The 15752-nt window shown below is 51.2% G+C and overlaps 1 protein-coding gene across 5 annotated transcripts, besides 3 other annotated features; it reads left to right on the top strand.

Annotated features, from left to right (window-relative positions):
- Nucleotides 309-14329, top strand: CHIT1 (chitinase 1). 5 transcript variants are annotated; one of them, NR_045784.2, is made up of 13 exons: nt 735-796; nt 1846-1875; nt 4538-4739; nt 5304-5360; nt 6748-6913; nt 7149-7273; nt 8083-8206; nt 10559-10744; nt 11079-11192; nt 12317-12473; nt 12543-12669; nt 13036-13106; nt 13275-14329. NR_045784.2 is itself a non-coding variant. In XM_047442899.1 (11 exons), the coding sequence occupies exons 1-11, from the start codon at nt 324-326 to the stop codon at nt 13517-13519; spliced, it is 1446 nt and encodes a 481-aa protein (XP_047298855.1). In that variant the 5' UTR covers nt 309-323; the 3' UTR covers nt 13520-14329. The 5 variants fall into 5 exon arrangements, 3 of the variants coding, with proteins under 3 accessions (XP_047298855.1, NP_003456.1, NP_001243054.2); NR_045785.2 differs by lacking the exon at nt 12317-12473; XM_047442899.1 differs by lacking the exons at nt 735-796; nt 12317-12473; nt 13036-13106 and adding an exon at nt 309-393.
- Nucleotides 12808-13563: an enhancer, noted in NCBI's record as "H3K27ac-H3K4me1 hESC enhancer chr1:203185973-203186728 (GRCh37/hg19 assembly coordinates)". NCBI's record gives its function as "activates a minimal SCP1, AML or CMV promoter by ChIP-STARR-seq in naive H9 embryonic stem cells {active_cell/tissue: H9 hESC(naive)}" and the evidence as "EXISTENCE:reporter gene assay evidence [ECO:0000049][PMID:30033119]".
- Nucleotides 13564-14319: an enhancer, noted in NCBI's record as "H3K27ac-H3K4me1 hESC enhancer chr1:203185217-203185972 (GRCh37/hg19 assembly coordinates)". NCBI's record gives its function as "activates a minimal SCP1, AML or CMV promoter by ChIP-STARR-seq in naive H9 embryonic stem cells {active_cell/tissue: H9 hESC(naive)}" and the evidence as "EXISTENCE:reporter gene assay evidence [ECO:0000049][PMID:30033119]".
- Nucleotides 14320-15076: an enhancer, noted in NCBI's record as "H3K4me1 hESC enhancer chr1:203184460-203185216 (GRCh37/hg19 assembly coordinates)". NCBI's record gives its function as "activates a minimal SCP1, AML or CMV promoter by ChIP-STARR-seq in naive H9 embryonic stem cells {active_cell/tissue: H9 hESC(naive)}" and the evidence as "EXISTENCE:reporter gene assay evidence [ECO:0000049][PMID:30033119]".

Genomic DNA, 15752 nt, shown 5'->3' with positions numbered 1-15752 from the left:
TACAGGCATGTGCCACCATGCCAGGCTAATTTTGTATTTTTAGTAAAGATGGGGTTTCTCCATGTTGGTTAGGCTGGTCTCGAACTCCTGATCTCAGGTGATCTACCTGCCTCGGCCTCTCAAAGTGCTGGAATTACATGTGTAAGCCACCATGCCTGGCCCAAATGTCCACCATTATTATTCTTCATAAGAAACATAGGCATTTCAAGCCATTACCAAACTTATAGTCACTATTTATCATTATCTATTTTTCTCCATCAATGGATATGCAACTATTACTATCATGAAAAGTAAATTATATTTGCAACCCCATTATCTTCTAGATGGAGAAACAGTTTGAGAGAGGGCAGTGGAGAAGCAAGAGAGCTGGTCTGGAACCCAGCTGCCTGACTCGTGAGTCATTTCTCTTCCTCCAAAGCCCTATTAAGTCTGGGGCTGCTTATGGTCCTCACCAACTACACAAAGAAAGTCAGGGTCATGCTCATCCATCAGGAGGTTCAGGGCCACTTCCCGCTTTCCTCTGTTTGGCAACACTAAGAGTCACCCTCTGATTGTTCCAGAAAAGCAAGAATTGCTAAAGGCCATTGTGTCAAGTTTGCCCAATTCATGCTGCTTGACATCTTACCCCTCCCCACCCTGCTCCCATCCCCCCCACCCAGTGCCCCTGATTGCAACACTCCTGGCTGGGGTGGGACAGGGTGGCCAGATAAAAGCAGAGCAGGACCTGGAAAGCTGGTTTGTATGGGCTGCAGCCTGCCGCTGAGCTGCATCATGGTGCGGTCTGTGGCCTGGGCAGGTGAGCCGTCGGATAGTGGGCTGGGTCTCGGGAGCTGTGGGGAGGTGGGGATGTGGATGTTCAGGGACCACTTGCTACCATTTGCAAGGAAGCAGGAGGACTCAGGAGAACTTCAGAGGGTCATTTTATCCCTCTCCATGCCTCCTGGCTTGCAGTCCCTTGATTACCTTTCCTGTGGGCTCCCCCTTAGGCTCTTTCAGCCCAAGAGACTTCATGTTGCAAGGGAAGGCTTTTCTCAACAGGCTGAAGATGACTTGACTTTCCTCTCTCTGTCCTGAAAGCCCAGAGTCAATGAGGCCCCTGCACTGGGTCTTTGTGTCTTTCCCATGTTCTTAGGTCCCTCCTGTTGGCCTTATCCAAGAAGCGCCCACTGCCAAGAACCTCTTCTCCAACCTCATATTGTCTGTCCTGCAAGAGGGCAGCCTGGGGCCAAGATCCTGGGCATCCTTGCAAATTTTCATGGAGGTTCTATTAGGTTGACAGAGAAGTCCAAGGTCACCAGGTGAAAGAGATCTCTTCGAAGGAGTCCTGTCAGACCCTAGGTCTCCAAGGCTGTGGTTGCCTACCACAGCCAGGTAGCGGAAAGGCAACAGGAAGCCATAAACGATGGGAGCAGAGGCACAGGCCCTCCCCAGGAGATGAACTCTCTCCATGCAGCCCTTCCAGATTGATTCTTTCTAGCCCCAAAACAGGCTTGTTTCTTGTTCCGAAAGAGAAACTATCTCTCTAAATAACTCACAAGTCAGCAGTTTTTCCACAATCTTCCTGAATCCACACTGCCCTTTACTGAGGTATAGAGAGGGGGCAGCCTCAGCCCATGGAACTTTCCATCAGCTTCTAGGACCAACCCAGGCCAGGAAGAGACCCCCGTGGTCTGGTCTGCATGAAGGGATGGGCACAGTGCCCTCCTGGGTCCCTTCTGAAAGGAGAAAGCTTGATTTGTATGAAATCAGCCCTCCCTGACCACCTCCTGTGCTTCCGTAAGCTGTGGGGCCTGGGAAGGTGAGAATGGCAGCATAACCCTGGCCTTCTCTCTTGTGTTGCTCCAGGTTTCATGGTCCTGCTGATGATCCCATGGGGTAAGTAGCCTCTTTCTTGGCTGCCTCAGCCCCTTCCCTGGGCTCTGCTTAATGTCCCAAAACACCTTCCCTGCCAGACCTCCCCAAGAGCTCCAGATTTCAGTGGGGACTCTCTTCCAAAGCTCAGACCCCTGCAAATGTCCCCATCTGCTACCAGCCCTCCCAGGAAGGCTCTTGCCTCCTTATCCATTAGCTGAGCTCCTGCACATCTGTGGGGCCAGCTTGCGCATCAGCCTCTTTCAGGGCTTTCCTTTCCTGGGGTTGCTGGCTCCCTCCTCTGCACTCTGTGCTCTTGCAGCACCTGTGTGTTTTACAGTACAGTACTGCCTCTCATTATTGGCTTAGGTGTCTCTCTGCACCAGTCTCAGACTCCAAGTTGCTGCAGGTAAGGAACCTAAGTCTCATCTGGTTCAGCATCCCCAGCCCCTTAGCTCTGCGAGGACAACACACTTGCTTCTGGTCTGTTGAACTGATCAGATGTGGAGCTTGAGAGAGGCAGGAGGGAGCTCCTTGTTGTGTCAAATGGAAAAGAGACCTGGGGGACCTTCAGCAACTTGAACTCCTGGTCCCCGTCTTGTCCCACCCCATTCCCTGGGCATCAGTGGCCTGGGAATGCTGGCCTCTCAGAACTTGTCCTGCGACTGTGCCTCTCACGCTGGGCTGTAGCATTGGAGGTACATTTCCCTCTCAGCCTCATAGGATGGAACAGCCGGGGGCACAGAAACAGCAAACATGGGGAAGATGAGAGGTGGAAGATTTCTCAAAAAGCTTTAGTCCAGGCTACTTCTGGGCTTTCTGCAGTATAGTAATAATAGTAGGACTTTGTGTGGACTAAGGGTTAATATATGTGAAGCACCTAGAACAGAACTTCTTCCTTGCAGTGTTCCTCCGAGTGTTTTACATATATTAACTTTAGCCCACACTGGGGTCCTGTGACACACATTGTGGAAGGTCCAATGGTCTCCCCGTTTCACACAGGAGGAAGCTGAGTCGCACAGCGAGTAAGTTGCAAAGTTGGGATTTCAACCCAGACACTGACATGCCAGAGTCCCTGCTGTTAACCACTGCACTTTATTTTCTCCATAGTACAGAAATTCATAACAATATTTGATATGCGACAGCATGACATGATAGAAAAAGAGCTTCCTGGCTCCTTCCTACATGGCCTGGGGGATGAGTTATCTGGTTTCATCCCCTCCTTCCTTTCTTTTCCTTTGGGGAGTTCACCAATTCTCCTGTATCATTGCAGGCTACACCCCAGCCCCACTAGCAAGCTGCACTCCTGGGTGACCTCTGGTTAGAGACAGTGACCACTCCGGGGCCACGTGTATGCCCAAGGTCAGCCCTCCATGCTCTCGGGTTCTAGTTGAGGCCTGCCTGAGCGGTCTCTTCCCAAAACTCTCCTATAGACACTTTGCACCCCTCCTCTTCCTCGTCCCATCCCTGTCCATGTGGGCATTGGAGGGGGTACAGACAGACCCTGCTGGGGCAAAGGGAAGTCCCAGGTTCTAGACACCAGCCACAGGCACGCTCCAGTCCAAACTCACTGCTCCATCAAGATCTTGGCATAAAATGTTGGCTCATACAAACCACACCATCATAGATTGAGAGACTGGAAGAGACCCCACAGACCACACAGTCATTATCAGATGGGGCCGGGATTGAAGATGAGATAGACCCAAAGTCTATTTTTGGCAGATGCTGGAATGAAGACTAGCATTCTTGCTTCCTGGTGTCCTGGTCAACCCTGCACAGGGCTGACCTCAGTGGGGGTCATCACCACCGAGCCCTCACTGGGAATAGACCATCCCACCCCTGCAAAGTCTTTTCACACACTGTAGGGTACTCTAGAGACAAGTACCCTACAGTGTGTGGGGTACTTAGAGACAAGATGCCTTCTCCTAGATAAAATTAGCTCTATTAGAATCTCAGCAGTGATATTGATAAACGTAGATTATCTACAAGGGATAACAAGCAAATGCAAATGGCTTTAATGCAAGACTAAAGAAACATAAACCCAGGCCTGTAACTGGGGCCTCCTCTCTGCTACTTATCTGTTTGCATTTTAACGAAGTATTCTGAGGTATTCCAAACCGTTTTTGAAAGTTCTGCCTGCCTTCCTTCTGCAGATGAGCATGCCATGTCTAATTCCCTCTAGGCCTCATGTTGGGGCTGCCTGGGGCTACCTTCTGTCAGGTTTCAGGGCCTGGAGGGGAGACCCTAACTGGGGATAGGGAGACCTGCCTGCCAGACCCTGATCCTGGGAGCTCGGACTCTGAGACTAGCAACTTTCAAGGATGTCAAGGAGTCATGAGACTTGGGTCGCAGCACCTCTGCTCTGCCCTCTTAGCAGCCATGCTGATGGGGACGGGCCCCAAGCTCGTGAGCCTCAACTTGCTTCCCGGGAAAAGAAGGCTTAGAAGATGATGGTCCTGCCCACTCAGTGTTCTGAGGATCCCATGTCTGGCCTCTGAAAATGCTTTCCCAACTGCCAGACTCCATCCACACAAAAGCAAATGCCATTTCTGCCTGTCGGGTCCCTCCACTGACTCCAGGTGTAGAAGAGGGAGGTCCAAGGACATTGCCTACCCCAGATGGAGGGTGACCAGTCCCCAGAAGGTCCTGCTGACAGCTATCCCTTTTCTTTACTCCAACGGGCCAGGCTCTGCTGCAAAACTGGTCTGCTACTTCACCAACTGGGCCCAGTACAGACAGGGGGAGGCTCGCTTCCTGCCCAAGGACTTGGACCCCAGCCTTTGCACCCACCTCATCTACGCCTTCGCTGGCATGACCAACCACCAGCTGAGCACCACTGAGTGGAATGACGAGACTCTCTACCAGGAGTTCAATGGCCTGAAGAAGATGTGAGCCAAAGCAGAGGAGCAGGGTGGGTGGGATGTGGTGGGGTGACAGATAACCTCCTCCCAGAGCCAGACACCTCTCCAGCACTAAGGTCCTGCCACAGACCCACTGTGTGGCTTTGGGCAAGTTGTATCACCTCTCTGGGCTCTCCTGTGCTTAATGAAAGAGGTAGGGTTTGCTTAGGGGATCCCAAAGGTCCCTTCCAGTTTAGGTCTAAGTGTGATCAGGATTGTGAGACTCTTTCTGTCTCCCATGAAGCCCCTTCCTCATTATGAAATTGATCCACCCTTCAGCTCCAGTGTTCTGGGCGCCTTCACAAAGCCTCTTGAGAATCTGCCCCAATCCTTGCTTCCTGAGCCCACACAGTTAGACAGGTGGTTCTGTGAGTCAGGAACGTGACTTCCCTTTTCCAATCTACAGCTGTCCCCAGAATGCCTAATACAGTCTCTGCACATAGGCACTTTCACACGTCCCCACCCCTGTTGTTCCTCCCCACTGTAACATCCCTGCCAGGGTGCCCTGGGAGCTGGCAGAGTAAATCCTGCTGTGTCTCCTGTCTTTCCCAGGAATCCCAAGCTGAAGACCCTGTTAGCCATCGGAGGCTGGAATTTCGGCACTCAGAAGTTAGTTGACTGTGGTCACCTGTGTGGTAAAGCTCCTGGATGGGAACCTGGTGCACTGGCCAGAGGGAGCCCTGGTCAGGGAATCAGGCCAGGCTGAGGTGTGGTCAGGGGAAAGGGGAGGGGAGCTGAACTCTGAGGGCTGAATTTCCTTCTGGGTTCTTGGCACCTCAGCTGGAGGGCAGCACAGTGAGCTTTGCTCCAGGCTGTTTCAGATCCAGTCTTGCCAGAAGCATAGGTCTAAACACAGCAGAGGGCTCAGACCTCTCCAAGCCTCAGTCTCGTCTTCCATGAAATGAGAAGAGGGAGGGTCCCAACTAATCCTGACAACATGCAGTGTCTATGTTTTCTGAGCTCAGAAATGGGGTACCTTGTCCCAGAAAGAGTGTTTATTCCACTTCTGAGTACAAAAGGTAATCTGTGAGATTGAGCCTGGATGCCAGAGTATTGGCATTTGGGGGACATTTTTTAAATGATTTATGGAGAAAATGGAATGGAGTATTTGAAACTTGGTGTTTTCTAGAAAATCCAGAATATAGGGCTCCCAAAGCTCTAAACAGTCTTTCTAAAACTTTTTTGGATCATGAACCCTTTTGGGAATCTGATGAAAGTGATTACTCATCTTCCAAAATAATGCTTATATACAGACTGTTTATTGAAATGCAGCAGGAGTTTTTAGCCTGGTGTCCTCGGACTAAATTAATAAAAATAAAATAGGATCAATCTGTAAAGAACTTGAGACCCCCTCAAGAAGTTCAGGGACTTCCCACTAAGGAAGGAAGATGTGGAGAGGTGGTTCTTGGGGCAGCTTGGGGATTTTGACGAACTCTGGACTAGTAACAGCAACAAAAACACAAAGCGCTCTACGGGTGTGAGTTAAAAGAAAGATGACCAGGTTAACCTGCCAGGAAACTAAAACAGTGGGCTCCCCAGGTCTTTACTAACCTTAGTAAAGGAATTAGAGAAATTCTAATTAGAGAAAAATCTTACTTAAAGAAAAACCTTACAAGAGGAATTAGAGAAACTAATTCCTTTTCTTTTCAAACCTCCATTCTGAGGGTGTCAACTAGTTCTGGTTTGGGGTGGGACAATTCAAGGGCTTGGAGGAAGCCTCTGGAGGGAATTTTGGGAAAGGCTCCTAGGGTGTCCATGTGCCCCTGGTGATGTCGATGTTCGGGGGTAGAAAGTGCTCTGGATGGTCCCCTTTCCTCAACCCGGACCATAACTCACCAGCAAATATCCCTGCAGCCTCTGAAGCAGCCCTCCCAGTGCCCCTCCTAGCCCAGACACAGAGACGCACTGTCCTGAGTGTTTTCTTGCCTGCTTCTGAGTAAGAGTGGCCTCCTGTCTGGTCCAAGGCCGGCCCTTACTCCCCTTCATCACCTCACAGGTTCACAGATATGGTAGCCACGGCCAACAACCGTCAGACCTTTGTCAACTCGGCCATCAGGTTTCTGCGCAAATACAGCTTTGACGGCCTTGACCTTGACTGGGAGTACCCAGGAAGCCAGGGGAGCCCTGCCGTAGACAAGGAGCGCTTCACAACCCTGGTACAGGTATGGCTGGGCGGGGCGGGGATCACCAGTCTGTGCAGGGACCCAGAGCTGGAGCCCCCACAGCACATGTGGGGGCTGCTCTGCCCCCAGAGCCAGCTGCTTCACGTATCTGCATGGCACAGATCAGCCCTGTGGCCAGCTCTCAGACTTCTACAAGTGAACATCTACCTGGGGCTCACAGGGGCTGCCTGCCTGGTGCGCGCCCCTGTGTTGACTCTGAGCTCCACTCCCACAGGACTTGGCCAATGCCTTCCAGCAGGAAGCCCAGACCTCAGGGAAGGAACGCCTTCTTCTGAGTGCAGCGGTTCCAGCTGGGCAGACCTATGTGGATGCTGGATACGAGGTGGACAAAATCGCCCAGTGAGTCTCAGGCAGATGGCTTGGAGCTGTGCTCTCTGAGGGAAGAGAGGCCAAGGGCAGACTGAGCTTTCCCATGGGTAGAGCAGGTGTTCATCTACAAGGCATTTGGAAAGTCCCATCCTTACACCAGAACAAAAGCAGAAAATTCCCTGCTTTTGTACTCAGGGTAAAACTAAGACACATCCAGAAAGGCTTTGCTCAGTGTCCACTGCTGCCCTGTTCCAGATCCTTCATTTTGGATCTCTGTCCTCTTCCTCGGGAACTCATTCTTAAGGTGAAAATGCCTCTGAGTGGGTAGTGAAGCCATTGTCTTCAAGAAAATGGGTTTTCTGGATCCTTGCTCCTCAAAGTACAGCATGTGGACTCGCAGCCCTCATTAAAACCAGGTGCTCATTAGAATTATGGACTCTCAGGCCCCACCCCAGGCCTTCTGAAGAACCTTCATTTTAGTGAGATTCCCAGGTGATCTGTGTGCACACTGAAGTGGGAGAAACCCTAAGCTAGAGTTCCCTCCAGAATAGCAATGTAGCAGGAGTTTTCTTGAGTGGAATAGGGAGGGCCTGGGGGTGCTGAGGGGACAGTGGGGTGAGGGTGACAAGTTTGAGTGAGAATGAGAATGGCCTTCATAAGGGGGCTGGCTGGGACTGCTGTCTGGGTCACCTTCTGCAGAGCCAGGTGAGCCTGCCACCTTTGCCTCTGACCCCAGTGGTTCCTCCCTAGGCCATGCACTGAGGGGGTAGGAGTGAGAAAGAAGGGCTACCCCACCCCCAATCCCTTGTTTCTCACCTCCTCTTCCATGCCTCCTGCAGGAACCTGGATTTTGTCAACCTTATGGCCTACGACTTCCATGGCTCTTGGGAGAAGGTCACGGGACATAACAGCCCCCTCTACAAGAGGCAAGAAGAGAGTGGTGCAGCAGCCAGCCTCAACGTGGTACGTGTGGCAGGAGGGCTGAGGCAGGACTCCCCTGTCCAGCAGGCCCTGTTTGGTGGCTTCTTTTGAGCCCCGAGGCCCTCATGGGAAAAAAGACACAGGGCACTGAGAAACAAGAAGCTTTTTTGTTTCTTTGCTTGCTTGTTTTGTTCTATTTTCCTGGTCCGTGCCCCTGCTGAGGGGAAACCTCACTTCTGTGGAGCATCTTGGCTGATGGTAGAGGCAGCAAATCAGTTTGATGACAAACAAGTGACCAATGGGGAAGCCCACTTTGAGCTTGAGTCTCCAGCCAGCAGGCCTGCTGCTTCCCTCACACACCCCCACCCCATTTCCTTCAAGACAGTGGGCAGACTTGTGCTCCATGGTCACACTGGTTGACCTTCTGGAAGGTCCTTTCAGGGACAGGAGCTTTCCCAAGTTGATAACATCTCTGCAGATGTCACTCAGGGTGGAAGTACTCCCAGCACCTGCAAAGGGCAGGCTTGGTTTTTAGACTAGGGTAGGTTGGGGTTTCCTAACTTTTCCTCATTGAGCAATCAAGACACTTTTAATTTTTTTTAATTTTATATATTTATTCTTAAGAGACAGAATCTTGTTCTGTCACCAAGGAGGGTATGCAGTGGCATGATCATAGCTCACTGCAGCTTCATCCTCCCAGGCTTAAGCGATCCTCCTGCCCCAGCCTCCTGAGTAACTGGGATCACTATGACCAGCTAATTTTTTTTAAGTTTGTAGAGATGGAGTCTTGCTATATTGCCCAGGATGGTCTCAAACTCCTGCCCTCAATCAATCCTCCTGGCTCAGCCTCCCAAAGTGTTGGAATTATAGGCACAAGCCAACATGCCCAGCCTAGATCCTTTTTATAAGCCCTCTATATATCTTAAAATATAGAGAGGGTTTATAAAACCCTGCAGAGAGGGCTTATAATAACTACATTATTTTTCTTTCTTAAAACAAGCAAAACCAAACAACAAAGAAAAAGCCCTAAATTAAAATGCTTTTTACTTTTGGAGAGCCCACATCTCTGTATGTCAGCTGGAGTGGGACATCTTTGATTTTCTGGCTCTTTCATGAATAAAGAGCACCTCTTTGAGCCAGTGAGCCAGGCACCCACATTTCACACTGAGCCTGGCCTCTCCATCCCTGTCTGGAAGACTGTGTGAGTTTTGGAGGAAGCTGTATCCCTGTGCTGGTGGGGAGACACAGAAAGAAATTTAGCTGAGAGGTGAGTGGGGTGGGAGTCCCTCCAGCACCCTGCTTTCCACATTGTGTACCTTGAATCCACCGAGGAATGGAGGCCATCTTATTCCTACAAAGAGGCCTTCTACTCACCACACAGTGTGCCCGGGGACAGGTTCTAACCAGATGGGTGACTTTTCCCAACTTGCACAAAAGTGCTATAACAGATCAGGAGAAGCCCCGACTTCTGCCTTCAGAAAGCACCCATCTGATCAAAGATAAGTTGTATAGATGGACAAAAAGAAATATATTTAAATAAATGTAGTGAAAGCTGTTCTTTACCTAAGTGCTAAGTGGGCTCAGAGTAACTAGACCTGACAAAACTAGGGCAGCTTCTGGGGGAAAGTGAACCATACTCTTGGCTTAAGGAATGAGGCTTCATTATTCATTAATTTATCATACTTGTACCGGGTACCTTCTCCCGTCACAGGCCTGGGGGTGTTACACCAAGTAATATATAATCAGGGGAAGGCCTTATTCAAAGGTGGGTAAGGAAGCCTTTGTTCTATCTGAGCATCAGGTGTCATTCTAGACACTGAGGATACAGAGATAAATAAAGCAGACCCAATTCCCTGCTTTTGTACTCAGGGTAAAACTAAGACAACAATCATGATAACGATGATGACCACAGCGACCCTTTATTGCGTTGTGCTGACCTTTTACATGCATTATAACCTTTAATTCTCACAATGCCCTAAGAGATGGATATTTTCCTTATTTCCATGTTACAGACAGAACACCAAGGTTCAGTGAGGTTAAATAAGCTGCTGGGTAAGGCAGGGATCTGTGTCTGCCTTGTTCACTGATGTGTCTGAAGCACCATGGACAGCGCCTGGCACACAGTGGGCCATCAGTACACATTTGTTCAGTGAATGGTTGTCTGCGTCCGAAGCCCACGCTCTCTGGTTATCATGCCATGCAGCTTCTTCACTGGGGTCACGGGTCTAAGGCAGGCTCTAAAGAAGATGGGGTAGGGCTGGAATCCTAACAAAGGCCCGTAGAGCTCCAGCTGAGGAGCCCCTGCCCTCCTAGCTCTGCCTCTGGATCCCCCAGACTTAGATAATCAGAACCAGGCTGAGGGCTGAGAAAATTAACCCTGCCCTCTTCCACCAGGATGCTGCTGTGCAACAGTGGCTGCAGAAGGGGACCCCTGCCAGCAAGCTGATCCTTGGCATGCCTACCTACGGACGCTCCTTCACACTGGCCTCCTCATCAGACACCAGAGTGGGGGCCCCAGCCACAGGGTCTGGCACTCCAGGCCCCTTCACCAAGGAAGGAGGGATGCTGGCCTACTATGAAGTAGGAAAACCCATAACCACCCTGGGTATTGTGAGGGTCAGGGGGTGCCTGAGAGAACAGAGGTTTCCTTCTCCCACCGTTTCTGAGTAAGGATGCCAATTGCAGAGAATTCTGGCCATGTAAATTCCATCTCATCCATGCCATCTTGAATTTATCCTTAAGCCCAGGTGCCTCAAGCTGAGTCCAGAATTCTAGGTCACTGCAAAGAACCTCCTGATTCTCCAGGCTTCCTCAGACAGGAATTTTCCAATCTCTAGTCTCCTCCTGGTGAGGAAGGGAAGGTGCCTGCAAGAGCCTCCCTCCTCCTCCCCAGTGCTGCCTTCTGCTCCCACAGGTCTGCTCCTGGAAGGGGGCCACCAAACAGAGAATCCAGGATCAGAAGGTGCCCTACATCTTCCGGGACAACCAGTGGGTGGGCTTTGATGATGTGGAGAGCTTCAAAACCAAGGTGAGGCCCAGCTCTGCTGGCAGAGGGGTGGTCCTAGTGAACAAGTCCTGTCAATGACATGGAATGAGGACAGTTCAGGACCTCAAGGGTGAGTCTCCTTTAAATGTCCCAACATTTCATAAATCTCCACGTGATAGTATTTTGTACCTTTACTACCTATTGACTCAGAAAAGACAAAATGACAAAAAATTGCTCTACATTTAGTAGCACTCTGGAAAGTATTTCTATTTTATTAAATACCATACAAATTCTACAGACATATGAAGAGGAGAAATACACATGGTGAGACATATAGCTTTCTTCAGCCCATTGGCAATATCTGGTGCATGTCCAAATTACAGACCTTTTGCTTTACTTATAGGACCCCCTTCTCCTGCCCAATATTGGTGCATTTACCTGGTTTCATGCCATTTTCCCCTGTGAAACTGTTAGCTCCTGAAGACGGATGCTTCACTAGTTTATCTGTACATCCCACATCAACTATCATGTGTGGCTGACAGCGGCAGCTTCTAGAGGTGGACAATTGCAGGGGGGCACGATCCTGGCTGGGGAGATGGGAGAAGGGGTCACGGTGGAAGGGTATTTCAGATAAGTCCTAAAGCATAGAAGGTGGCCATTCTTAGGGGTGAGGGAGCGGGCAACTGCACAAGCAAAGACGCGGGTGCAGAGAAAGTAAAGGCTGGACTCTGAAAACAAAGTGTAGGCCCACATAGCTGGACCCCCAAGCAGGGCAGGTAGAGGAAGGGAGCTAGCTGAAAGGGAGGCTGGGGCCAGCAAGGGATCAAGCACCATGGCCCCCTGGCAGGGTTAGAGGACAGAGAATCCCACTCTGAGGGAACACACAGTCATACCCTCAGGAAGCCTCAGGAATCTGGTGGAGGGAAGATGGCTCTCAGGGAAGACAAAGACATGAAGACAGAGAAGCAAGCCTTGATTGAGATCTTTTGGAAATCTGAGTTGTTCCCTATGGTAACTGGACTTACCTTGACCTTGACCTTGACCAGCATACAATACCCTTAAATAAAGCAGCTCAGCCCACACATGACCAAGCGGTGAAGGGTTCCCACTTAGGGAGGTGCACACAACTGACACTATTCCTCCCGACTGCACCCACCCCACCCCAGGTCATGCTTACGTTAAGACAAGGAGACTGCAAAATGACTGATGTCCAAGCAGCATGAGGACTCAGCATCCAGGCTCCCAGCCCAAGGCTGTCTCCAGAATCTACAGCCACTCACAGGCCTGAGGCTGCTGGAGCAAAAAGGGCCCTGTCCAGAAGAGGTAGCCAGGCTCTGGGGTGGCCGGGTCAGGCTTCCCCGGGCTCCTCCACTGCATCCCCTCCCTGCACAGGTCAGCTATCTGAAGCAGAAGGGACTGGGCGGGGCCATGGTCTGGGCACTGGACTTAGATGACTTTGCCGGCTTCTCCTGCAACCAGGGCCGATACCCCCTCATCCAGACGCTACGGCAGGAACTGAGTAAGTAAGGGGCCCAGGGCCAGTGGTGGAATTTGGAGGTGGGGTACAAACACAGCTCCATGCATCCAATGAACTGTAGGTCCCGGGTCCTTCTGAGGAAATGACTTTGCCCCAATACTGTAATTTCCCAAGCTTCATGTACCCGCAGGAGCTAAGGAAACTGTCAAAACAATTTTCCTTTTTGCGGTCTTTCTCTTCCTGGTTGTAGCAATGCCTGCCCAGGGTTGTTGTAACCGTGGCTTCCCTCCAGAGGGCCCCCAGACTGGGAGCAGCACCTTGTTCCTCTCTTACCTGGGAGAAAGCCTCCCCTTAGCCTGCAGCGTGGCACCCCCACCTGCCCTCAGCAGTATATGGTTGTGCTTGCAGATGGGTAAAGCCTTAACTGCCTGTCACATGTGAGGCCAGGTGTTGCCTGTGGCACTGTGCTTCAGCTGTAGGTATGGCTGTTGTCTGGCTGTTCTCTGCCTGGGGTATCTGGCTGTACTCAGCCTGTAGGGCATGTGGTGCTGGGCTGCTGCCAGCCAATGGTTGCTGCCTGTGTGCTCTGCCTGTGGGTTTGGGATCTCTTCGGGGGAGCCTTGGTTGAATCTTCACTGTCTTCCCAGGTCTTCCATACTTGCCTTCAGGCACCCCAGAGCTTGAAGTTCCAAAACCAGGTCAGCCCTCTGAACCTGAGCATGGCCCCAGCCCTGGACAAGACACGTTCTGCCAGGGCAAAGCTGATGGGCTCTATCCCAATCCTCGGGAACGGTCCAGCTTCTACAGCTGTGCAGCGGGGCGGCTGTTCCAGCAAAGCTGCCCGACAGGCCTGGTGTTCAGCAACTCCTGCAAATGCTGCACCTGGAATTGAGTCGCTAAAGCCCCTCCAGTCCCAGCTTTGAGGCTGGGCCCAGGATCACTCTACAGCCTGCCTCCTGGGTTTTCCCTGGGGGCCGCAATCTGGCTCCTGCAGGCCTTTCTGTGGTCTTCCTTTATCCAGGCTTTCTGCTCTCAGCCTTGCCTTCCTTTTTTCTGGGTCTCCTGGGCTGCCCCTTTCACTTGCAAAATAAATCTTTGGTTTGTGCCCCTCTTCCCAAAGATGTGGTGACTTAAGAGGCTCTCTAAGCACACTGTTGACTCCAAAACATCCGCAGGTCAGAGCCAGGTGGGAAGGTGGTCCGTGCAGGATGTGCCAGGCCCTGTGGCAGGTCTTGCCCCATGAGTCCATATGCCAGTGGGCAGTTTCCAGTACACAGGTGATGGCAGCCAGAGCGCGGCCCCAAGTGCAACACGTTCTTTGGTTATTGGCTCAGAAGCCTGGAAACAGGAGCTTCTGCGGACCTTCACGCACGTGTTATTCCCAAAATGCCACTAGATGGCAGCAGAGAAGAACTTTTCCCTGATTTAAGCGCTCTGCGAGCAGCCACTCAGCATTACACTAAGAATTCAGACCCCTGGTACTCAGGGGTCTTCGAGATAAATCCTGTTTGGGCCCTTTGCAGGCCCTATCTCACCTACTGCCCCCGTTCACCAGATGAAGAAGGAACAATGATTATTCTCACTTTATAGGCATTTAAACTGAAGACTGATTCTAACCAATTCTGAGTCCAGAACCAAGGCCTGAAATGGGCCAGAGAGCATGCACACGGTGTCCTGGTTAAATAAAGTCATCCCAACATTCCTGGCTGCTTTGGGCTGCACCTTGGTCATTCTGTTTGAAGAAAATCTGCACAAAGCCTAATGGTCCAGCCTGTTATTCACTCCAAGCTGGTTTCTGGTTGGGACTTGGGAAGGCAGCTGGGGACTGGGACAGGTGAGATGAGGGGGAGGCAGCTTGGCCCCCCATGTGAGTCAACCCAGCACCAGAGCGCAGGAACAGTGTCCCCGTCACTCCGGCAGCCTGCCTGTCCATGGGCATTTTGAAACCTGCTCTCCTCAGTCCAGAGCACAAGCTGCTTGAGCACGTGCTCCGCCCCCTGAGGTCTCAATTGAGGGATACACCAACCACATCCCAACGAGCTGTTAGGAGTGGAGTCCAGGTGCAGGGGTGACTTCTGGCGTGCTGCACTCCAGCTGTGTGACTTCAGGCAAAGAAGCAGAGCCTCAGTCCTCTGCTGTAGGATGGAAGAAATGTGAGGAGTCAGTGAAGTCGTGCACGCCTGCCCTATGATCAGTGCTCATTCCCTCCCTCCCTCTTCCCTTCTCAGCCCTTTCTTCAACTTCTGTGAGCTGGGTTTGTCAAGGATTTAGCAAAAACTGTAGTCTCCTTTTAGCAGAATGCGCCCTCCTACAAGCATCCAAATAACCAAAGTCCTCCCTGAGTACGCAGTCTTACACCTGCACTACTGTTACCCTCAGGAAAGCATTAGCCACAGCCTCTCTCTGGTCTTCACATCCACCCTGCTCCTCTACAAACTCATGGCCACTCCCTCAGCTAGAACCAGCATCATCTCATATCTGGACCCACCTTCTATCTGGCCTCCCTGCTTCCTGCCCACCCCCTCTTCCAGTCAGCCACCACATCGCAACCAGTTTAATCTTTCTAAAATAGAGATCTAAGCCTGTCAGTTCCCCTGCTTAAAAACTAAGCAAGGGAAGTGACAGGCTTCCCCTGCCCAAAGGAGAAAGTCCCCACCCATCAGCACAGGGTTGAGACACTTTATCAGGCCCTCGTGTCTTCTCCGGTCACTTCTCCTGCCGTCCCCACCCCAGTTCAGTTGCTGGGTACCCCTGATGTCAGCATTAACCTCAACCATCATGCCAGCTCCTCATGTGGGACTCCCACAGCCCTCTGTCACCCGGCTAGCTCAGGCCCACGCCATTTTCTGAATGAATCCTGTCTAGGACAGAAACAATGAGAGTTCTCGAAAAGCTATTTGTGTTCAGATTATCTCTTTTTGTTTGTTTTTGTTTTGTTTTGTTTTTTGTTTGTTTGTTTGGTTTTTGTTTTTTGGGTTTTGGTTTTTTTCTTTTTTTTTGAGACAGAGTCTCGCTCTGTTGCCCAGGTTGGAGTGCAGTGGCGTGATCTCGGCTTACTACAACCTCCACCTCCTGGGCTCAAGCGATTCTCCTGCTTCAGCCTCCCGAGGAGCTGGGACTACAGG

Source organism: Homo sapiens, chromosome 1 (assembly GCF_000001405.40).
Source record: "Homo sapiens chromosome 1, GRCh38.p14 Primary Assembly".
NCBI lineage: Eukaryota > Metazoa > Chordata > Mammalia > Primates > Hominidae > Homo > Homo sapiens.
The sequence above is the reverse complement of the archived record's forward strand: the minus strand, read 5'-3'. Positions and strand labels throughout refer to the sequence as shown.

Bases quoted from the DNA above. Each gene is read 5' to 3' on its own strand.
- CHIT1 (XM_047442899.1), top strand. From the start codon at position 324: ATGGAGAAACAGTTTGAGAGAGGGCAGTGGAGAAGCAAGAGAGCTGGT. The intron at 5,361-6,747 runs GTTAGTTGACTG...ATCACCTCACAG, and splicing joins TGGAATTTCGGCACTCAGAA to GTTCACAGATATGGTAGCCA. The intron at 6,914-7,148 runs GTATGGCTGGGC...CCACTCCCACAG, and splicing joins GCTTCACAACCCTGGTACAG to GACTTGGCCAATGCCTTCCA.